We start from the raw sequence: 24,284 nt of genomic DNA, 5'->3' as shown, positions 1-24,284 counted from the left end.
TTTTATAATTAGGGTAGACTGTCTCTTTCAGGAGTGATTTTGGCTCAGATTTAGGCCTTCTGTTCTGCTCTTCTCTCTTCCATGCCATTTTTCCAAATTCTCCTCACTTTCCACAAAGATTTGCAGTGGGACCTCAGGAGATAGCTGTGCTTGGAATTTGCTGTTTATTATTTTTACTTACAGGTGTATTGAGTCTGTAGTCTGTGTCAATTAATTGTGCTGAAGATGTGAGGTTTGTATGCTTGTATTTGTTACTGTTGATCTGTATAGATTTTTGGAGGATTTCTAATATTCAGCTATATAGATATATTGTGATTTTTAACCAGTTGTCTATTTGTTAAATATGTTGGTGGTTTTAAAGTGTGCAAATTATAACTACTTGTAGCTTAATGTTTATACAGCTGTGATTAATCTCTATAGATAAATTTCCAGAAATAGGTCAAAAGTTATATATTCCAAGGCTTTTACTAATATAGACTTCCCAGTGTCCCTCCAGAAAACCCACAAGTATTTATTATTAATTTTTCTTTTTTTTTTTCTTTTTTTGAGACAGTCTCACTCTGTCACCAGGCTGGAGTGCAATGGCACAATCTCAGCTTACTGCAACTTCTGCCTCCCGGGTTTAAGGGATTCCCTGCCTCAGCCTCCCGAGTAGCTGGGATTACAGGCACTCGCCACCATGCCTGGCTAATTTTTATATATTTTTTTTTAGTAGAGATGGGGATTCACCATGTTGGCCAGGCTGGTTTCGAACTCCTGACTTCAAATGATCCACCCACCTTGGCCTCCCAAAGTGCTGGGATTACAAGTGTGAGCCACCGTGCCCGGCCTATATTTATCATTTATCGAGTTTCTACTGGGTGGCAGGCGTGGCACTGACAAAGCACTGAGGATACAAAACTCAGTCTGACCCACACCTGCCCTTAAGCCTAGGAGGTAAACATGAAGCACAGAGGGACAGTGTGACAAATGTTTCGCCGAAAGGGTAAGTTCAAAGAGGTAGAGGAACACAGAAGGAAGGCCACAGGGCTTTCTGGAACCCTTTTCCATGATAAACAAGGTCACCTCTGTCCTCACAGAGTACGAACATCCTCAGTTTCTTACCTTACTGAAAACCTGACTACTTGAGGACATTGCTGCCACTCAAGGTGAGTGAGACTGTTCACTCTCCCACACTACCAGTCTCTCTCCCAGCTCTCATCCTGCACCTTAGTCACCTGCCTTTGTCCTGAGATTCCCTCATGGGTTCTTCTTTCTCCCTGCATCCTGCAAATGGTGCTCCATGTGCTCTGGCCCATAACCTTTCTCTTCCCCTCTGCAGTCTCCCTGTATGGTGCCACTGTACCTTCCCACAGCTTCAGTGGCTCCCACATACCACTTCTGGGCCACATCCTTCTCCTGCATCTCTGTCCCAGCTGCCCACCTGGACATCTCCACATGGTTCCTCTGCAGACACCACAGACTCAACATGTGCAGAAGCCACCTCATCATTGTTCCCCGACCTGCTCTCCTCTGTACTCTGGATCTGCTAGTGGCACTACCAGTTTCCACCTCGTTCCTAATCAGGAACCTGGGGTGTCAGCCTTTGTCTTCTTCACCATTTGCCCTCTGCTTCTCTGTCTACCTCTTTTCCTTTCAGGGAACATCATTTCTCTGCCACTTGTGTTTCTGTTCTTTAAAACAAAAAACAAAGCCTCTTTTGCCTTCATCCCCTACTCTAAATCTCCCCCTTTTCTCTTCCCTCTTGCCCTTTCTTTCTCTGTATTTTTCTAGCCGCTTCATTGCTGCTCATTTTCTCCATTTCTCTTTTTCCTCTTGCTTCTCTAGTGGTTCCTTCTCATTCCCTATTCACATTCTCTTCAGTCCTCACTGCGCAGATACCAATCTTGATCCTGCGCCTGTTCTTTTTCCTTTAGGGGATTTGAGTTTCGATGGGACAGCTTGAGGCTGGCCATTGCTAAAGCCTGGGGCATGGGAGAATGGGGTAAGCAAAGTATCAAATACTTCTTTTTGTTGTTGTTGTTGAAACAGGGTCTCACTATGTTGCCCAGGCTGGTCTAGAACCCCTGGCCTCAATTAATTCTCCTGCCTCAGCCTCTCAAAGTGTTGGGATTATAGATGTGAGCTACCACACTCAGCCTTAAATACTTCTAGACTAAAATCCAACTTACTGTTTCTCTTTCCCTTCTACACCAAGAGGTAGGCCAGTATTTGTCCTCTGAGCATACCTGGATTCCCAAATGACAACTCTGGGGTGCCTTGAAGACTGCAGTTATAATTTTGGGGCAGAAAACACCCCCAGAAATCCTCAAACCTAATAAAAGATATCTGAATGATCAGGAAGAAGGGCTTTAGAGGTATGTCAGTCTGCAAGCAGCAGCTGATCTTTGTGGTGTTTTTGTTGTTGTTGTTGTTTTTGGAGACAGGGTCTTGCTCTGTCACCCAGGTTTGAGTGCAGTGGTGTGATCACAGCTCACTGCAGCCTCAACTTCCCAGGCTCAAGCAATCTTTCCACCTCAGCCTCCCAAGTAGGTGTGACCACAAGTGCATGCCACCACGCCCAGCTAAGTTTTGTATTTTTGGTAGAGACGGGGTTTCGTTATGTTGTCCAGACTGGTCTCAAACTCCTGAGCTCAAGAAATGTGCCTGCCCTGACTTCCCAAAGTGCTGGGATTACAGACATGAGCCACCGCTCCCAGCCCTGATCTTGGTGCTTTTGATGGTGGCTCTTCTTCACAGCCTTCTTGAGATGCAGTTCATCTTTAGCAGTTATCACACTGTAGCCTTGAGAAGTGTGACTAATAACTTCAGGAGGCAGTTGAGTTCAGTAAAGAGTATTTTGAACTCCTAAATTGTTCTGTTAATGACGGCTGCTCAGAAAGGAGTCAAGGGTCTATAAATAATGGCAGATTAGCACCTTGAATAGACAGCTTGTTCTTATAGATTTTTGGAGGTGGAATATATTGTTTTTTTATTGACTTAAGCGAATATGTGACAATTTAAGGCAGGAATAATCTTTTAACCTTAATATACTCCTTGTTTAATAAAGTAAGTAAGGTAGAATTTCAGATATTAATTAGTTCTATTCATAAGCTTTTGAAGGGACATAAAGGATATGTTGTTCTACCCTTCTGCAATGGTCAAAATGGTATTGCTTTCAGAGAGTGAACAAACATACGAGATCATTAAGTAATTACACAATTTATAGCTTATCTAAATATGATTTGATATTGAAAATCTTGGGCTGGGCACAGTAGCTCATGCCTGCAACCCCAGCACTTTGGGAGGCCAAAGCTGGAGGATCACTTGAGCCTAGGAGTTCAAGACCAGCCTGGGCAATATAGTGAGGCCCTATATATACAAAAAAATCAAAGAATTTAGCCAGGCATGGTGACACACACCTGTGGTTCCAGCTACTCAGAGAGGCTGAGTCAGGAGGATTGCTTGAGTCCAGGAGGTGGAGGCTGCAGTGAGCTATGATTGTACCATTTTACTTTAGCCTAAGTGACAAGCGAGACCCCATCTCAAAAAGAAAAAAAAACTGGCTCTGATAAAAGGTTCTGCGTGTTGTAATCTATTTTTGGATAGTAGTAGTAGTAGTTTTCTATTGATACATTAAAACATATCTTACAACTTAGTTGCTTAAAACAAAATGTTTCCAATCTCTCAGTTTCTGTGGGTCAGGAATTCGGGAGCGCTTTAGGTGAGTAGTTCTGGCCCAGTCTCTCATGCAGTTGCGGTCAAAGTGTTGGCTAGGGCTGTAGTCATCTGCAGACTGGACTGGAACTGGGGGATGGCTGTTGGCAGGGGGTCCTGGCTCCTCACCACGTGCTAGAATGTCCCTTGTGACATAGCAGCTGGTTTTCCTCAAGGAAGAGAAGAGGTCTAAGAGAGGGCAAGGAGGAAGCTGCAGTGCATTTTATGATCCAGTCTCTTTTAAGTCACATACCATTACTTCTGCTTGTTTTCTATTTGTTAGAAGCAAGTTACTAAGCCCACATCACGCCCTAGCAGAGAATTAGGCTCTGCCTTGTGAAGGGAGGAGTATCAAAGAATTCGTGGACGTATTGTTAGCACCACCCACCACAGGCTTGTTTTTCCTGATTTTTTTCTTCCTAGGTTGAAGGTGGTACAGCTTAGTAGTTAAGAGCATGGTTCTGAAGCCAGACTGCCTGGCTTTGATTCTGGTTCTTCCACTTGCTTACTGTGTGCTTTAGTAAGTGTGAGTTGCCTTCTCTGGACCTCAGTTCCCTCATGTATGCGTTGAGGAAAATGGTGCCTACCTCACAGAAGTGTGTGAGAAGTAAATTAATTAATATAAGTAAAGGATGTAGATCCGGGCCTGATGCATAGAATGCTCTTAGTAGATGTTAACTTTTAGTATCGTTATTGTCGTTTGAACAGCAGTATAGCCCAGTTTGTTTCTCCCTTTATTTCTATGTAATCTAACGTAATGCTTGGTCTAACATATACCACCTCATACAGGCTCTGGTCATCCTGGTAGGTCATACATGGTAGGAGCCAAGTGGGCTGATGACTCTCAGTGCAGACTCCACCTGTAGTAGTATAGCATGTGAGGGCTCTTAGCTTCTTGTTGATACATGGTAAGGAATATCCCTTTCCCTTCCAGAACTCTCACTTGGAAAGGGCTTCCTCCTAAACTTGACAGGAACCTGCTCTGGGACCTGTGAGCTGTGTTCAGTGTTCTCCACATTCACTCACACTTTCAGTCCATAAATATTTATGAAACGTCCCTGGAATTCAAAGCAAAGTAATTCCCACAGTACTTTATCTACTGTGAAGAATCAAGGGGAATACATATGTCCTAGCTCTTTAGAGTTTATTCATATAACATTTTCATCTTAGATCTGGGGCTGATTTGCTTAGTTGGTTAGAGTATAATGCTTATGGGTGGAAATTTTTTCCTTAAAATAATCTGTGTGGAGGAAGGCGTAATCACAATTCCAACACTTTTAAAGGAAAATTATTTATTAAAGGGCAATCAACTATTTATAATAGTTAAGTACGTTCGTTAAATACTTCATTTATATCTGGTAGATCTTGACCTGACATTGAGTTGCCACATTCTTGGCTCTAGAAAGATGTTTTTAAAAGATGTTCATGAATACTACATGTCAAAATTGTAAGAGAAAGCAGATTTTTAAAATTTTTGGACATAATATACTAGCAAATTTTTTTAGATATGAACTCTGTTTTATAGATGATTCAGAAGATTGTTTACCAGAAAAAAATTATTACACCAAATTTCCACCATATTTTTTCTTATTGATGTCATTGCTTTCCATGACTGAAAAGTGTAATTGAAATGGCTTCTTTTAAAAGTGTTGCCTTGTCCTGCACTCTGATGGTTTGACTTCTTAAGTCCACCCAGATTCTCTTCAGATATTGAGTTCATTTTCTCAACTATAAAAGGATAAGTAGGATTGCATTTGGTTATGCATACCAGAATTCTGACTACTGTGGCTTTAATCAAGTAGGGATTTATTTTTCCTATATAACAGGAAGTCTGTCTTTCTGCTCTACTATCCTTAGTGTGAGACTTCTGTCTTTGTACTTGTAGTCTTATGGTTATAAGACGTCTGTGATGAGTTAATATGGTGTCATGTTTACATTCCAGGCAGAAAGTGCAAGGCTTTCCAGAAACTTGGTTTATGTTTCCTTGGTCAGAACTGTGCTAGGTGGCTTCCTCAAGTTGCATGGGATCCCAAGAAAGCTAGTGTTTTAGCAGGGTACATTGCTAACCCAGATGAGATCAGTGTTCTGTTAGTGAGACAGAAAGGGACATTGTATAGTGGGTAAGCAAATGGTATTGTCTGCCACAAGGGTTTGGATGGTTGCTCAAGTCCTGAGCCGATAGAGCAATCCATGAGTCCATCCACTTGGCAATAGCACATAGTGATAGTACAGTACTCAGTGTAAGTAATGAATCGGCTCTATATCTTTAGTGTTGGAATCCAGAAGCAAAAACACAGAGTAGTTTACCCCTAGGTAATATACGTGGTCATAAATCTCAATAATGATCTTGTACGTGATCTTGTTTTCCTCCCATTAAAGTCCTCATTAATAATAAGGGGTACTTGAATAAATAAACTCTTCCAAAAGCTGTTTCCATTTAGATTTTTTTTGATATATTTGAGCCAGGCACGGTGGTTCATTCTTGTAATCCCAGCACTTTGGGAGGCTGAGGCATGCAGATTGCTTGAGGTCAGGAGTTCGAGACCACCCTGGGCAACATGGTGAAACCCCATCTCTACTAAAATACAAAAGTTAGCTGGGCATGGTGGTGCACGCCTGTAATCCCAGCTACTCAGGAGTCTGAGGCAGGAGAATCACTTGAACTCAGGAGGTGGAGGTTGCAGTGAGCTAAGATCGCACCACTGCACTCCAGCCTGAGCGACAAAGGGAGACTGTCTCCAAAAAAAAAAAAAAATCTTATTATTATTATATATATTTTTGGTAAGATGATTGTAAATAAGTTGTATATGAAAATGATTGTTGTATATTGTTTCAGTGGAAATTGTACCCATTTTTATTTTTAACAGAATTGGCAATATGGTGACTATTAAATCAAGTTGTGGTCTTTTTTTTTTTTTTTTTAAAGTAAAAAGACTTTATTTCTATTTATTTATTTATTTATTTATTTATTTATTTATTTATTTTTACTGAGACTAAGTCTCGCTCTGTTGCCCAGGCCGGAGTGCAGTGGCATGATCTTGGCTCACTGCAACCTCTGCCTCCTGGGTTCAAGCAATTTTGCCACCTCAGCCTCCTGAGTAGCTGGGATAACAGGCATGTGCCACCACGCACAGCTAATTTTTGTATTTTTAGTAGAGACGGGGTTTCGCCATGTTGACCAGGCGAGTCTCAAACTCCTGACCTCAAGTGATCTGCCTGCCTTAGCCTCCCAAAGTGCTGGGATTACAGGCGTGAGCCACTGCGCCTGACCAAAAGACTTTATTTCTAATATAAAGTAACACATACACATTGTTTAAAAAAAAAAAAAAAACAGCTAGTACCAAAGTACTAAAGAAGAAGGTAAATAACACCCTTGATCTCATTACCCAGAAATAATTATATTTTTACCATCTTTTTTTTTTTTTTTTTTTTTTTTGAGGCAGGGTCTCTCTTACTACAGCTTCGACCTCCTGGGCTCAAGCAATCCTCCCACCTCAGCCTCCCGAGTAGCTGGGACCACAAGCATGCACCACCACATGCTGCTAGTTTTTGTATTTTTTGGAGAGACAGGGTTTTGCCATGTTCCCCAGACTGGTCTCAAACTCCTGAGCTCAAGCATTCCTCCTGCCTGTGTTACCATCTTGAAATACATTTCTGTGCATAACAAAAATGGCATTTGAAATTTAGAAATTATATTTGGAATTATTTGTGAACATAGTTCAGTATGAATAAGTATATTAGCTGAGATATCTCTTGACATAAAAATTTGGAAAACTTTAGATAAATAATTCCATTTAAACCTTCAAAAAGTAAATAAAAGTTAACATTTTATTTCCATTATTTATAGCTGGAAATTTTTTAGGTAGCATTTCTGAAAAAACCTGACATTGATAAATTCTTATTGATTTTGATTTATCTTCTAACAAGAAATAAAAGCTTTCACTCTGAGCCTAGCATTTCCTTATTCCTTCTTGAGGCCATTTATTTATTTTGGGGCATGACAATGGAAATATCAGAATATTACAGAAGATTGATATGAAAAAATATCTTTTTTTGCAATGACCATTTAATGTTCTGTGTGGGTTGGGTCTTCTTGTACCTGAACATTCATTTGCCTATCGTTTTCAAGCTGCAGATATATTCCACCTCTCCAGTTAAATTTAGCTGAGGAATTGTTAGGTGCGGGCTATAATTGCTCTTTCTCTTCTCTTCACTTTCCCAGCCTCTGCAGTACTTTGACAAGCTTCACTCCTCCTGCGAGCAGTGTTTTCAGTGTGTGTCTTTTATGTGCTGTCGACAGGCTCTTTCCATGTTCTGTGGGCCTCCTACTCGGGGAACGCCACCACTGCCACCACCCCCGTATTAGTACAGGATGGGAAAGCAGAGCTGGGCAAAGTCATTTGTACTTTTAACATCTGTGTGAACAGCACTCAAGAGTCCCTTTTATCCTTCTTGGATCTTTTGCCTGCACTCAGAGTTGTTACCCCCAAACAGTTCTTGGTGCCTTGATTATGGGCTCAAGATTCAAAAAGCCAAGATTTCCTAAAAGTATAAATGACAGAAAGGGAAAAAAGACTGTATTTTTCCATTTAAATGTCACTGTAACATTACTTATTAGACAAATAAATTATAAATATAGCAACGGAATTCTTTTTAATGAAAAGAAAAAAATCCCCCATATTCTGCAATGCTGGTCAATAATTTTTATTTTTCTGTGTTTCCTTTTAGACCTGGTCTGTATGCATATCCAGTGTCTACATTGTTATAATTCGAGTGGCTATCATTTGGATTCTGACAGTTTTTTTTCCTTTAATATAATCATTTTTCCATTTTGTTATGTGATCCTTTATAGTGACACTTTAAATGAGTTTATTTTTTTAATAAGTAATTCATTCACATGGTATAAAATGCAAAAGCTATAAAAGGGTATGCAGTGGAAAGTGAGTCTCTTTCCCACCCCAGTCCCCCAGCCATCCAGTGCCCTTCCTCAGAGGTAACAGTTTTTCCTCATTTCTTGTGATATAACAATATTCTTTGTTTTTTTTACTTTGATTCTTTCCCTTGATTTACGAGTTTTCAGGATAATGTGTTGGTTTCCCGGAATCCTCTAAAGAAGACCAGTGAAAGTGTGTAGGGTTTCTTTTTCCATGTAAAATGTGTTTTATTGGTTTCTTTAAAAAAAGGTTCAGGGTTTAGTTTGAAATCAGACAGCAATACCTCTCATCCGTTGACGGTCAAATTGGCTTCAGCTACCAATACTTCATTAACTCTAAAAGAAAATAACTGTTTCCATTTTGAGGGGGGGAAATCCAGTTTAAATTAGTTTTACATTGGTCTGTAATTTAAAACGGAATGAGGGCTAGTGTTTCCTGTTGCTTTATACAGCCCTCTGTTCATACAGAACCTGGAATGTAATATTCCCAACTCAGGCAGGCACTAATACTGACGTATACACACACCCTTCCCCCAAACAGCAAGAATCAGAGTGTCAAAGGGACAGTGAAGGTTTTCATTTTATTTTGTCATAATCTCATAGCTTTTAACATATTTGATGTGATTCCATCCATTTTAACGATTCTTTCTGATGCTCATATTAGCCCATTCTTGGCCAGTTGGAGCATCTTCAGATTATCTTCTGAGTCCTTTTTGAAAGGACCCCAGTGATCTTTAATAATGTTCTGCTTTCTGATACGACAGAATGTTTCGGCTCATCTTGTATTCACTAATACTTCTAAATTACTACAAAATACCTGATAATGAGATGTATCATCATGTCTCTCTCAGTGGAGAACAAGTTGTTCTCATTTTTAAAATATTAGAAATAATTTTTCAACCAATGTCTGTGTCGATATATACACTCTTTAGTCTTTGGCTTATGCCGTTGGCATCTCTGTTGATAGATAGATGTTTTAGTCTTTGGCTTATGCGTTTAGCATACATCTTTATGTGTAATGACTAATTCAAAACATATGAATATTCTTTTAACTCTTAAATAATATTACCAGATTGAATTCCCAAAGGATTGTGCCCATTTGTAAAATGTGAGTATGGTTGTTTCAACATAGTACCAGCATTTGGGTATTATGATTCTTTTTTAATATTCACTAAGTTACTTATAGAAAAATCATAAGTATTAATAGTTTCTTTGATGCGCTTTATTGCTAATTGTGGAGTTGAATATAATTCCATATATTTGTTTATTAATTGTGGCCATTTTTGTGTGAATTGTCTATTTATGCCCTTTGCTCATTTGCCTATTAGCATCTTGATTTTTTTAAAGATAAAAACAATTTGTATTCTTTTTTTTTTTTTTTTTTTTTTTTTGAGACGGAGTCTCGCTCTGTCGCCCAGGCTGGAGTGCAGTGGCGGGATCTCGGCTCACTGCAAGCTCCGCCTCCCGGGTTCACGCCATTCTCCTGCCTCAGCCTCCCAAGTAGCTGGGACTACAGGCGCCCGCCACTACACCTGGCTAATTTTTTGTATTTTTAGTAGAGACGGGGTTTCACCGTTTTAGCCGGGATGGTCTCGATCTCCTGACCTCGTGATCCGCCCGCCTCGGCCTCCCAAAGTGCTGGGATGTATTCTTTATATACTTTAAATGTTAATCTGTTGTCATATTGGTTGCAAGCATTTTACATTGTGAACATTTCAAACATTGGTTGCAAATATTTGATTTTGTCCTAGTTATATAAAGACCATTAATTTACCTTCTTAGAGAGTGACCACCAAATGTTAAACGTACATACCAATTTGTTATATTGAACTATCTATGTAAGCTTGGCAAGTCACTTTACCTTCTCCCAACCTCACATCTATCAAGTGTTGAATTGAACTTGATTGCTTGGATCCTTTCCAACTCTGACAGCCAACATTTTCTTAGTAAAAAAGCACCATATTTAACCCCAGCAGTTCCTTGCTCTCTTACATAGAGAATCTTTCCCATGGATGCCTTTTTTCACAACCTTCTAGTACAGCTAAATATTATCTCCAGTCTTCTTTCCCTGCCCCACATAGTTTGGTAGAACTCTGAAGAAGGAACATTGCCAATAGGAGTATATTTCTTGGTTTGCTTAAGTGAAATCCTGCGATCGCTGGTTTAGTAGAGTCAAGAGAAAATGACTTATTCTCTCAACCTTGTTGTTTATTAGATCTTGTGTTATTTCAAGAAAGTGGCTATTAGGTTGGGTTTAGCTTTTTTTTTGGACAGAGTCTCACTCTGTTGCCCAGTCTGGAGTGCAGTGGTGCAATCTTGGCTCACTGCAACCTCCGCCTCTCAGGCTCAAGCAATTCTCCTGCCTCAGCCTCCTGAGTAGCTAGGATTACAGGTGCGTACCACCACACCCGGCTAATTTTTGTATTTTTAGCAAAGATGGGGTTTCATCATGTTGGCCAGGCTGGTCTCGAACTCCTAACCTCAGGTGATCCACCCACCTTGGCCTCCCAAAGTGCTGGGATTATAGACATGAGCCATCGTGCCCGGCTGGGTTTAGCTTTTTGAAAAAGCTTTGCATAAAAAAGTTTTCAAAAGTATATTGAAACAGTATTTGATAAATTTTTAAAATAGAAATACTAATAATTTTTTTATCCAGCATTCAAGGTACTTATGGGTTATTAGTATAAGTTAGCAAAAAGTGATGATATATATAATAGTTCAACTGTTTTTTAAAAGTTCAATTTTGTTCGGCCCTGACAGTTTTACTAATTAAAAAAAAACTGTCTGTGATGTGCTCTTGCTGGTGAAATACATATGAACCATTCATATTTCAAGGCTCTAATTAACAATCTGGTTTAAAACACTGGTATTCCATAAACAATAAAAATAATAGGGTGGGAATTTCCTATTGGAATGCTAACTATAATACAGAGATTTGAGTAAGTTTCCATGACTTACAATTGACTCACTGTGTCCTCTCAGAGAATGACATCTATTATCTTCACATTTTCATCTTTTTCAAAACGTGACACCCTTTTAAGTTATCTTCAGAAAGGAAATATGTGTCATTTATTTCATGTCTATATTTTGCTCTCATTCAGAGGTTAGACTTTCAGAGTGGAGACCTCAAAAGTAAACAAGCAAGTGAGGAGGCTCTGAATGTTCGAGAAAGCTTTCAAAAAAGTCATTCCCTTAAGAGGTCTCTGGGCCCTCTCTTGAAACCAATTTATTATTTTTTACCTGTAAGAACTTCAATAAGTGGATGAGTAAGATGCTAGTGGCAGATATTTGGACAGCTGGCCGTCTGAAATGGAGGAAGTAGAAAAGAAAATGAATAAAGTACATCCAGTGAACTAGAAACCAGTACAGCAAAGTCATTAATATATAGGAACACGGCTCAAAAAACCAAGCACCAGGATTTTTTTCTTTCTTTTCTTTTCTTTTTTTTTTTTTTTAGACAGGGTCTCACTCCGTCCCCTAGGCTGGAGTGCAGTGGCGTGATCATGGCTCATTGTAGCCTCAGACTCAGGCTCAGTGATCCTCCCGTCTCAGCCTCCTGAGTAGCTGGGATTACAGGTAGACACCATTATGCCTGTCTTTTTTTTTTTTTTTTTTTTTTTTTTTTTAGTAGAGACGAGGCCTTGCCATGTTTCCCAGGCTGGTCTCAAACTCCTGAACTCAAGTGATCCTCCTGAAGAGTTGGGATTACAGGCATGAGCCACCGCGCCCAGCCCAGGTTTTATTTCTTTCATGGACCCTATGAATTGTACAACTGGATTATTTTCTCTCATTGTATTGGTTGTAAAGGAGCTCAGAGCCAAGTTTGTGATCCACCTCAAACAGGTGCACAGGCCTTCTCTGCATTTGTTTAGGTATTAATTTCTCTCATGATTTTAAATTATTGTTTTTACCCTTATTTTCCCTGAGCCTGACTTCTACCATACGTTTTTTTAATTTTGTTTTTCTTTGAGACCGAGTCTCACTCTGTTGCCCAGGCTGGAGTGTAGTGGTGAGATCTCGGCTCACTGCAGCCTTGCCCTCCTGGGTTCAAGTGATTCTTGTGCCTCAGCCTCCCGAGTAGCTGGGACTATAGGCACACACCACCATGCCCAGCTAATTTTTGTATTTTTAGTAGAAATGGGGTTTCACCACGTTGGCCAGGCTGGTCTCAAACTCCTGACCTCAAGTGATCTGCCCACCTCGGCCTCCCAAAGTGCTGGGATTACAGGCGTGAATCACCAAGCCGGCCCCATATGTGTTTTTTATTATGTATTATAGTGCTCTTTCAGCTTTTCTTCCCAAGTTTTCTAAACACCAATGGGGAATATAATTTCGCCCCAGAAGGTTTTGAGAGTAAAGGCAAGGTAGCCTTCCTTAAATGAGACACCTTTGGGTCCCCTTTTATCTATTTAATGTAAAAATGGATTTCCCCCAAAGTTTTCAGGGAAAATCAATATTCCATGAAGATATACTGTATATATCCAGTGGCTATATCTTCTGAAGTAGAATTGCTTATGTAGGGGTAAAATTCCTATGAAAAATACCTTAAATTTAAATTACTCGTACATCACAGTGCAACTTAGTATCAGCTCCTAGTAAGTCTAGCACAGCTGCTTTATTCTCCAGTTGAAAGTGTTCGTTCTTCCTTCATTTGAATGCCATATGATATAATTGGCTCTCATTTAGGAACTATATTAAAATTACATTATCCAAAGATAGTATAAAGAACAGTAACATCACAATCATCATGCTGAGAGGCCAGGGGACCTAAGACCACCATTCATTCTGGTGCACATACTCACATCGTAAAATGCTGGGTGCAGTTGCTCACACTAAGTTATTTTTCTGTTCATTTTGTTTTGGTTGAGTTCATATAGCTGAGTTTGAGTAAGTTGACCACTAGTAGGATGTCACTGGATTGGACACCACTGTTACATCTTTTGGGTATGCATGCCCTAGTTAGAGAAGCACCTCTGTACTTAGTTTTGTCACTTAAATGGAAAAGATTTCAATCTAGCCCCACACTTCTTACCAATGATGACACCTGAAGTATCAATATACTTGATTTCTTATGTTTCTCCTTTAATATTCATTTCTGTTTCATTACAATTAAGCATGAATATATGTAGTAACACTATCCTTTTAGCACAAAGAAAATATAATGCCCTTTTAAAGTTTAGTACATATTTCAGAATGCCAACTTCAAGGAAATCCACAGAACTTATAAATACCATAGTTTTGCTATTGATTTCAGTCTAAGACAAATTTCTTTTGTCGGAACCCAATAACCTAAGTGTGGTTATGTGAAATTTATTGAATATTGCTTTCTGGGGGTGGTCGGGAGCTGCAACCCCAAGAGACATGGCCAGTTTTCTATGTTCTGGGAAAAAAGAAAAGAGAATTGCCCTCTGTCAGTCCCCTGAAAACACCAGCCATCCTCTTTTCTGAGTCCCATGGTGTTTGAATCTGCTCCGGCTCCTGTTTTATATCCCATCCTTCTCCATTTTGGTCAGAAATATTTTCTGTTACCCTGAGATTAGCTTGTACTCTAACAGAAAGAAAGAAAATTCCTGTTTAAGATTATAAGTGGTTCACTTTTAGAATTATCTTTTTGCTAGTGCCAAAAGTTTAATTTATTGTTAAGAATAATGATTTTTTTAATTTTGAAAATTTAATTTGTGTTCTTTAAAAGTAGGCAGTGTGGAAAAGTATAAAGAGGAGAGTTTAAAATTATTCTAAATTCTATCAATAGGGCTAATCTTCATTAGTATTAGTTAAATGTCATTCCAGAGAGCATTCTCTTCACATGTATATTAATATGAGAAAGAAAAAGTAGGCAGACAGACATAGCTTATACTATCATGAAAAAGACATTTTTCATTAAAAACATTATTCATCAAAAAAAAATTTTAAAACTTTTTTTTACCGTGTGTGTGTGTGTGTGTGTGTGTGTATGTGTATTTGTTGTTGTTTTGAGATAGGGTCTCACTGTCATTCCAGGCTGGAGTGCAGTTAGTGCCATCATAGCTCAATGCAGCCTCAAACTCCTGGTTCAAGCGTTCCTCCCACCTCAACCTGAGTAGCTGGGATTACGGACACATGCTACCATGCCCGGCTATTTTTTAAAAAAATTTTTGTAGATGTGGAGTCTCACTGTTATCCAGGCTGGTCTCAAACACCTGGACTCAAGTGATTGTCTCACCTTGGCTTCCCAAAGATCCGGGATTGCCATGCCTGGCAACACTATTTGCTAAAAGATATAAGAAAAAAGTTATGAAAATTCTAGATTCAAATTATGTTTACCTATATTTTCATTTTACATAACATCTCTTAACTCTATTAAGGACATTTAGACAATATTCTTAATTCTGTTAAGGAAATTAGTATCTCTTCCCTCACTCCTATTTTTAAATTGTTATTAATTTATTATTGTTCATAGCATTTATAATATAGTCTATGACCATAATTACCAGAATTGTTTAGTCTTAATATTATATTTGAATGGATTTAGTGCCCACCATGGGCATTTTTATTATGACTTCTCCATTCCTGAGTTCTTTATTTTGATTTATTTCATTTGGCTGAGTTTCTGACAGCTTGTGTTTCTCAAGGTCACATAAGCATTATACGTGAAGTTCTTTCACATTTGGTGATGTCTACCTTTTGCCTTATTGTAGTATTGAAATGACCTCTTGAGTGGGTATGATATCCTCGAACATACTCTCTTTGACTCAGACCTTTATAGTGTTGCTTCATTGCCTTCTTACTTTGGATGTTGCTATGGAGAAGTCTAAACTCAGGCTGAGTTTTTACTACTTTATAGGTAATTTTTTTGGTCTGGATCTCTGAAGTATTATTTTTGTAACCAAGAAATTTCTCAGTTTTAGTCATTCACTATCAGTTGTTATGTGGAACACGGTGTATTCTTTCAGTGCAGATTTAGTTTTTTCATTTCAGGTTTCTGTTCCATGTTGCATCCCCGTCGTTGGGGATAACAGTTATCCTTATGTTGGGTTGTCTTCGTTTTCCATAGTATCTTCCAGTTGCTTTAATCTTTGACTTTCCCCCTGGATGCAATGGGTGGTTTCCTTTTGTTTCCTTGCTTTCTTGTATTCTGTTTGTGTTGTTGCCATGTCTCTTCATCTTGTTGAAGTGTTAGCAGTTCTGTCCAGCAATTTTATTTGCTCTGATAGAGGTATTACCAAATTCTCCCTGCCTGCATTTCCACAGTATTGAAGATTCAGTTGTTCTCCCCTCTGAGCTACAATTTAAGGATTTGAATTTTTCTGTTTTACACATTTTTCTACACCCTGAGGACATGGGGGTACAGGTTAGGAGAGTGTATGGTTATGAAAACATTATAAAGCCTCAGTCATTAAAATTTACATATTGATATAGGAAGATCTTCAGGATAAATTTTAAGGGAAGAAAAGCAAGGTATAGAAGAATGTGTATAAAATTCTTCCTTTATATAAAAAATTGAAAAAAGAATGTATATAAATATGTCTTTATACATTCACCTACATATTTGCTTTATATACTTTATCTCTGAATGCTAGACAAGGAATTAATAATTGGTTACCTGTGGAAAAGGGACCTGGGTAGTGATGGGATTGGGAGGGAGAATTTTCTCTGTGTATCTTCTTATACTTCTTGAATCTTAAGCAACATGAATGAGCTATGTATTAAATATGTGGGCACTGCTTTCTGTTCTGAGATTTAATTGCCCTGTTGTAGGATTCCTCAACCCTGAAGGAAGTGTCCCTGGTTCCCATAGAGAATTTTATATCAGTCTCCGACTCAGTGTGGGGCCTGGAAGGCTCAGCATGGATGAGGTGGCTGCTAGTTAGTCACTTCCCCCACTTCACCATTGCTGTTCAGCCTCCAGTTCTGTCACACTCTATCCAGAAATTTGTATTTCTCTCCAAATCTGGCTCATTAATAAACATTCAGGATTTTGTTGATTCACCAATATTACTTTTGGGGGAAGAGACTGTGCCATAATCTCTTTCTTGTCCTGACTAGCATGTTTTAAAATACATGGCATTAAGTTGTACCTATTGCTTTTTGGTTGCTGCTGGTAATTTTTGTAGTTGTTGCTGTTGTTGTGATTTAATGTTATTACTTTAGATTCAGTATATTTTGTATTTGGTTAGGGAGATTCTGTGATCTGATTTCTCTTGTTATCATGTTAGCCTACTACACACCTAGGCCATATGGTCTAGCTTGTTGCTTCTAGGCTATAAGCCTCTACAGAAGGTTACTGGACTGTACGACAGGTGTAGCACAGTGGTATTTGTGTATCTACACATAGAAAACGCACAGTAAAAGTATGGTATACAAGATTTAAAATGGCACTTACCATGAATGGAGCTTGCAGGACTGGAAGTTGCTCTGGATGAATCATTGAGTGGTGAGAGAATGTGAAGGCCTAGGACATTGCTGTGTACTACTGTAGACTTTATGAACCCTGTACACTTAGGCTACTAAATTTATAAAATATATTTTTCTTTCTGCAATAATAAATTAACCTTAGCTTATTGTAACCTTCTTACTTCATAAGCTTAATTTTCTTTAACTTTTTTGCTTTTTGTAAAACTCTTAGCTTAAAATACAAATACATTGTATAGCTGTACAGAAATACTTTACGTCCTTATTCTATAAGCTTTCTCCTATTTTTAATTTCTTTTTTTACTCTTTAAAACTTTTTTGTTAAAAACTAAGACACACACACACACAAGCCTACGTCTACATAGGGACAGGATCATCACTATCACTGTCTTCTGCCTCCACATCGTGTCCCACTTTAAGGTCTTCGGAGGCACTAACACACATGGAGCTGCCATCTCCTATAACAATGCCTTCTTCTGGAATACCTCCTGAAGGACTTGCCTAAATCTGTTTTACACTTAACTTTTTTTTAAGTAAGTAGGACTATACTCTAACAATAAAAATTATAGTATAGTAAATACATAAACCAGTTACATAGTCGTTTATTATCAAGTATTATGTACTGTATATAATGTACTGTGCTATATTTTATATGACTTTTATATGACATGCTATATTTTTATATGACTATTTTTATATGACTAGCAGCACACTAGATTTGTTTATACCAGCACCATCAGAAACATATGAGTAATGAGTTGCATTATAATGTTAACAATGGACATTACTAGGTAACAGGAATTTTTCAGCTCCATTATAGTCTTATGGGACCATCATCATATATGCAGTACGTCGTTATCCGAAATGCCATTGTGTGGTGCATGACTGTACTCAACTGTCAACCTGGTCTTTGTCAGGTATAGCCAGTCTCCCAACTTCACTAACCTGCCCCATCTGAAGGTTGCACCAGGCAGGGAGGATTTCTAGTGCTGCTCAGCTTTGCAGGGCTCAGTGGTTTGGGGAGTCCTCAGAGCACCCTCATTCTGGGGAAGCAAGCAACCAATTGCCAGATCCCCTTTATACAGCTTTTGCTTCACACACACACACACACACACACTCCACTATGTTTCTTTTATCTGCCAGTGTTTTTGCTTCAAAAGTTCATTGCCCTTTCAACATAAATTCCCATAACTATTTCTCAAGTTATAACCTTGCCTTGCCAAAGATTTGCACTGCTGACAGAGATATCTTTCTGAAACCAAGTTGTAATCATGCTGTCCTCCTGTTTACAAATGTTTGGTCACCCCTCATCACCTTCAGGAAAAAGTCTTATTTTTGAGAACTACGCTAAAACATATCAGTCATAGCCTGGGAGTGTGAGCTCACCAGGGACACTGTCTTCCCTTTGCATCCCCAGTGTGGAGAGTGGTATCTGGCACAGAGTAGGCGCTCCACAAATATTAACAAATAGTAGATGTCTGGTACATCTTTTTTGAATGAATTTTAGGCTAGTGAGAGTTTACTAGTAAGATTCCAGAATGTCTCTGTCATCTGTAAATAACCAATTTAAGTAGCCAACAATAAAAATATCTGTAGTTTTGGTTTTAACATGCTATGCCATTGTGTTCAAATAAGAAGTAATGGCATGTAAATGCAAAAACAGTGGGATTGACTGCAAGAAGTGCCAGAAAGAAAGAGGATCTATCTGCCAGGCACATGCCTGTAATCCCAGCACTTTGGGATGCTGAGGCGGACAGATCACTTGAGCTTAGGAGTTCGAGACCAGCCTGGGCATCATGGCGAAACCCTGTCTCTGCTAAAAATACAAAAATTAGCTGGGCGTGGTGGCACATGCCTGTTGTCCCAGCTACTTGGGAATCTGAGGCAGAAGAATGGCTTGAACCCAGGAGGTTGAGGCTGCAGTGAGCCATGATTGTGCCACTGTACTCTAGTCTGAGCAACAGAGTGAGACCCTGTCCAATCAAAGAGAGAATCTAGTCTGTCTTGTCTATCTATATTCCACATTCTACAACGATTTGTGGTAGCTCATACACAAAATATCACACTATAGTATGCTTCAGATCTAGCGTGAAGGTTTCTGGCTACCAAGTTAAAGAGGGTGACAGAGTTATATAATTCTTATTATTGGAAAGGAGCAAACCTTTCTTAACATTGAGCTCTAAAACAAATTTCCTACCTGTATGAGAGGCTTTGAGTGATAGGGTGGACATTATACTGTACACCATTCCTACGGCAAATAAGGTAATATTAATACTGTTTGACAGTCTTTTTTTTTTTTTTTTTTTTTTTTTTGAGACGGAGTCTCACTCTGTCACCCTGGCTGGAGTACAGTGGCACGTTTTCGGCTCACTGCAAACTCTGCTCCCGGGTTCAAGAGATCTCCTGCCTCAGCCTCCCGAGTAGCTGGGATTACAGGCGACTGCCACCACGCCCGGCTAATTTTTGTATTTAGTAGAGACGGGGTTTCACCATGTTGGCCAGGGGCCAGGTTGGTCTCAAACTCCGGACCTCAGGTGATCTGCCCACCTCAGCCTCCCAAAGTGCTGGGATTACAGGCGTAAGCCACTGTGCCTGGCCTTAGTTTCTTATGAAATTCACCTGATAATAATGATAAGCCCAACTTGGTGATGCCAGCTCTGTTCAGAGCTGAGATAATGCCCATCTATGTGGCCATCTGTTCTTTAGCTTAAATTCAGGGATAGAGCTCTTGGCCTTTTGACTGGTCCAGTAGAGCAGGCATTTCGAGATTGTGCTGTCAGGTGAGGGCCTGAACTGCTGTTTGCTGGGTGACTGGTTGAAGTAGTTGTCTATGCTACAGAGAAACTAAGTGACAGTTGGTCTGAATGACATGATTTGGGGAAAATTAAGGTGTCTAAGTAGGCGAGTTCACTGGATAGAGAACGGTAGAAGCACCTGCAGGCAAGGCCAGAAACATCTTGACATCTACTTCAATTAGAAAGTATTGATCAGCTTTTTGTTCACTACTTATTAAGATTTAAATTTACTGCCAAAGGTGTGCTAAGACAGGCACTTTTGTATATTGCTGGTGGGAGTATAAATTGGTAATAAACTTCTTAGAAAGCAGTTTGGCAATACATTTCAAGAGCCTTAAAAACATTCATGCCATTTGACCTAGTACTTCTACTTCTGGGAAAATGTCCCAAGGAAATAATCCTTTTTTTAAAAAAAGGTCTAAGCCTCGAATTTTGAGTGTTATTTGTAATGCTTCATTACTTCATTTATAGTATCAAGAAATTCGAGGCAATTTAAATGTCCCACAGAAGGAGAATAAACAAACATATTAACTCAAAGGAATATCATGATTTAAGCTAAAATCTTTTGAAGAAGAGAAGGAAAATTCTTAAAATGTTAAATGAGAAAAGCAAAAACAATATAAACAGTAGAAGTTAAACTGGTTTAAAATATGCTTAGAGGAAAAGACTGGTGAGAAATACACTAAATAAATCGTTGTGTGTGTGTGTGGATACTAAAGCATTTTTAAGAAAAACACTGTTGACCAGGTGTGGTGGCTCACTCACACCTGTAATCTCAGCACTTTGGGAGACCGAGGCAGCGGGTGGATGACCTGAGGTCAGTTTCAGATGACCTGAAACTCCGCCTCTAACAAAAATACAAAAATTAGCCAGGCATGGTGGTGCATACCTGTAATCCCAGATACTCAGGAGGCTGAGGCACAAGAATCACTTGAACCTGGGAGGCGGAGGTTGCAGTGAGCCAAGATTGTGCCACTGCATTCCAGCCTGGGCGATAGAACAAGACTGTCTCAAAAAAAGAAAAGAAAAGAAAAACACTGTTAATTTATGTATGGCATTTTTGAAAGGGAGACAAATACAAATTTATATTCCCTAGAGAAGGGTGATTTATAGTGGAGAGGGAATAATTAATAAACCTGTGTTCAGCTGAATTGCAGTTTTTGCCCCTAGACCTTCTAGTTCCATTTGTTTAAAGTTACTCTTAGCGCCTGTAATCCCAGCACTTTGGGAGGCTGAGGCGGGCAGATCACGAGGTTAAGAGATCGAGACCATCCTGACCAACATGGTGAAACCCCGTCTCTACTAAAACCACAAAAATGAACTGGGCATGGTAGCGCGTGCCTATAATCCCAGCCACTCGGGAGGCTAAGGTAGGAGAATCACTTGAACCCAGGAGGCAGGGGTTGCAGTGAGCCGAAATTGCGCCATTGCACTCCAGCCTGGGCGACAGGAGTGAAACTCCATCTAAAAACAACAACAACAACAACAAAAAGTTACTTTAGCTGGGCATGGGGGCTCACGCCTGTAATCTCAGCATTTTGGGAGGCCAAGGCAGGAGAATTGTGTGAGCTTAGGAGTTCGAAACCAGCCTGGGCAACATAGCAAGACGTTGTCTCTACAAAAACTTTAAAAAATTACCTGGGCAGGCCGGGCGCAGTGGCTCACGCCTGTAATCCCAGCACTTTGGGAGGCCAAGGCAGGCGGATCACAAGGTCAGGAGATCGAGACCATCCTGGCCAACATAATGAAACCCCATCTCTACTAAAAATATAAAAATTAGCCGGGCATGGTGGCTTATGCCTGTAACTCCAGCTACTCGGGAGGCGGAGGCAGGAGAACCCCTTGAACCAGGGAGTTGGAGGTTGCAGTGAGCTGAGATCGCCCCACAGCACTCTAGCCTGGCGACAGAGCAAGACTCCGTCTCAAAAAAAAAAAAAAAAAAATTACCTGGCACACCGTGTGGTCCCAGCTACTTGGGACGCTGAGGCGAGAGGATGGCCTGAGCCCAGGAGTTTGAGGCTGCAGTGAGAGATATGATGGCGTCATGTACTCCAGCCTGGGTGACAGAGTGAAATCTGGTCTCTTTTTTTTAAAAAAAGAAATCCTTTAATTCTCAGTTCTTTTCTTTTTACTTTTTGTTTGTTTGTTTGTTTGAAATCAAAGAAATCAAAGGCTTCCTCTATATGGGTGCTTTCCTTACAGGTGCCTAGGTAGTTATTGCTTCAACCTCATTAATCCCCCTCTCCCAGCAAAATGAAACTTAACATGTTAATAAGCAAAATATGATTTTCAAAATAGGTCTATTATAATAGAAATATGGAAGAGTACAATTCTGCCATTTTCCTAAATATTAAACATTATTTTACAAGAATGGCTTAAAACATAAGCCTTGTTTTGCAGTATATGAGCTTTCCATCTTCAATATATTTTTTTTTTTAAATTGGTTTCTAGAGGAAATCCACAACTGCATATTGTCCCATCTAAGTGTGATCTGGCTAAATATATTCACTAAATGTTTGACTTACTAATTAGCTCTGTTAGCTGTATTACACAATTATATAACCAGGTTTTATAATTCATTTATACATTTATTTATGTATTTATTTACTTTTACTCATTTATTCTGAGACAGGACCTCACTCTGTCACCCAGGCTGGAGTGCAGTGGCATGATCACAGCTCACTGCAGCCTCAACCTCCCAAACTCAAGCAATCCTCTTGCCTCAGCCTCCCTAGAACTGGTACTAGAGGCGTACGCTACCATGGCGAGCTAATATGTTTTTTATTTTTAGTAGAGACAAGGTCTCGCTATGTTGTGCAGGATGGTCTAGAACTCCTGGACTCAAGCAATTCTCCTGCTTCAGCCTCCCAGAGTGTTGGGATTACAGGCGTGAGCCACTGTTTCTGGCCATTTATTTTTTTAGTAACAGCTTTGTTAAGATATAACTAACTGCCAGGTGTGGTGGCTCACACCTGTAATCCCAGCACTTTGGGAAGCCGAGGCAGGCGGATCAGCTGAGGTCAGGAGTTCAAGACCAGCCTGGCCAATATGGTGAAGCCCTATCTCTACCAAAAGTACAAAAACTTAGCCAGCGATGGTGGCACATGCCTGTAGTCCCAGCTACTTGGGAGGCTGAGGCACAAGAATCACTTGAACCTGGGAGGTGGAGGTTGCAGTGAGCTGAGATTGCACCACTACACTCCAGCCTGGGTGACAGAGTGAGACTCGGTCTCAAAAAATAAATAAAGAAAATAATCAAAGATGATTCCAGTGTTATAACTTGAGGACATTGGGAGGATAATTGTGCCAGGGCTTGTAATGAACAAGGTGATAAAAAAAAAAAAAGGTTTTAAAGATAGTCTTTTATGTTGTTATGCTTGTTGGCAAAATATTCAAGTAGATAATAAAAGATACCTAACTTAACCATTAGATAGTGTATCAAGTCTGATGTCCATGAGCTTCCAGCACTCATTAGACACAAATAGGATTGATTTCTCATCCTTTGTTTCCTATTTGTTTTGAAACCCGTATTGTAAAATGAGTCTTATTTTAAAGATTAGGTAGTGGTTTTGCTTTCTCCATCTATACAGTAAGTGTAAAAAATACTGTACTTGGTCAGTGGTTTTGAGAGGTTTAAGAAAGGTACCTGGATCCCATGGTTTTATAATACCATTAAAAATATTATTGTTTTTAGGGAGAAAACTTTGTTTTAATGTGGACTACATTGAAAACTTAGTCTGTGTAACAATATAGACACCTTTCAGTTGCTCAAGACCGTTTTGACTCTAAACATTTAAGTTGGAATGTTTTAGAAAATATATTATATATCGAAACTTAGTACAGTACATTTATTTATCCATCCCAAAATTTCTTTCAGGAATTGTTCCATCTTCTGTTGTCCTGACTTCTTTCCAGGTGATGTCAAGAGTTTTTCTAATATGGGCAGTAACACATAGCGTCAAAGAGGTAAGTGTTTATATAGACCAAAATAATGTCAACACTAACAAACACTAGTCAACTTTTCTGATTCACATGTTTGTTATGGCTAAAGAGTTCCAGGTCAGAGTTCCAGGTCATGTCAATATAGCTGAGATAAAGCTCACATTCACTGTAGGAACTGGGTTAATAGTGGGAAACATATCCCAGATATGCAGTGTTGTTAAAAAGAAGACTGATTAAATGGTAAAGTCCTGTAATCTGAGTTCTCATGGAGGTTCAGATGGTGTGGATGTGGTCTGCAACTCAGTTATATTTTTCTGATATCTTGTTCGTATCATGTTGCCCAGGCCGCTCTCGAACTCCTGAGCTCAAGCAATCTGCCTGCCTCACTCTCCCCAAATTCTAGGATTTCAGGCATGAGCCACCACACCTGACCCAAGTCATCATTTTAAACCTATACAGTAGTTCCCTCTTATCCAAGGGGAATACATTCCAAAACCCCCACTGGATACCAGAAACAGCGGCTAGCA

General features: G+C 39.5%; 1 protein-coding gene across 8 annotated transcripts in view; it reads left to right on the top strand.

Annotated features, from left to right (window-relative positions):
• HACD2 (3-hydroxyacyl-CoA dehydratase 2) overlaps nt 1–24,284 on the top strand; it is a 93,500-nt gene that overhangs the window by 32,887 nt on the left and 36,329 nt on the right. For 5 of the 8 annotated variants that reach the window (NM_001329786.2, NM_198402.5, XM_047447663.1 and 2 more), the window contains one exon: nt 23,693–23,781. In NM_001329786.2, the coding sequence (NP_001316715.1) occupies nt 23,734–23,781 (48 nt within the window). In that variant the 5' untranslated portion in view covers nt 23,693–23,733. Of the gene's footprint in view, nt 1–1,079; nt 1,985–23,692; nt 23,782–24,284 lie in introns of all 8 variants that reach the window. The other 3 variants (NM_001329784.4, XM_047447665.1, XM_047447664.1) reach the window with 2 other exon arrangements.

Source organism: Homo sapiens, chromosome 3 (assembly GCF_000001405.40).
Source record: "Homo sapiens chromosome 3, GRCh38.p14 Primary Assembly".
NCBI classification, from domain to species: domain Eukaryota; kingdom Metazoa; phylum Chordata; class Mammalia; order Primates; family Hominidae; genus Homo; species Homo sapiens.
This window is presented reverse-complemented; position numbering and strand designations above follow the sequence as displayed.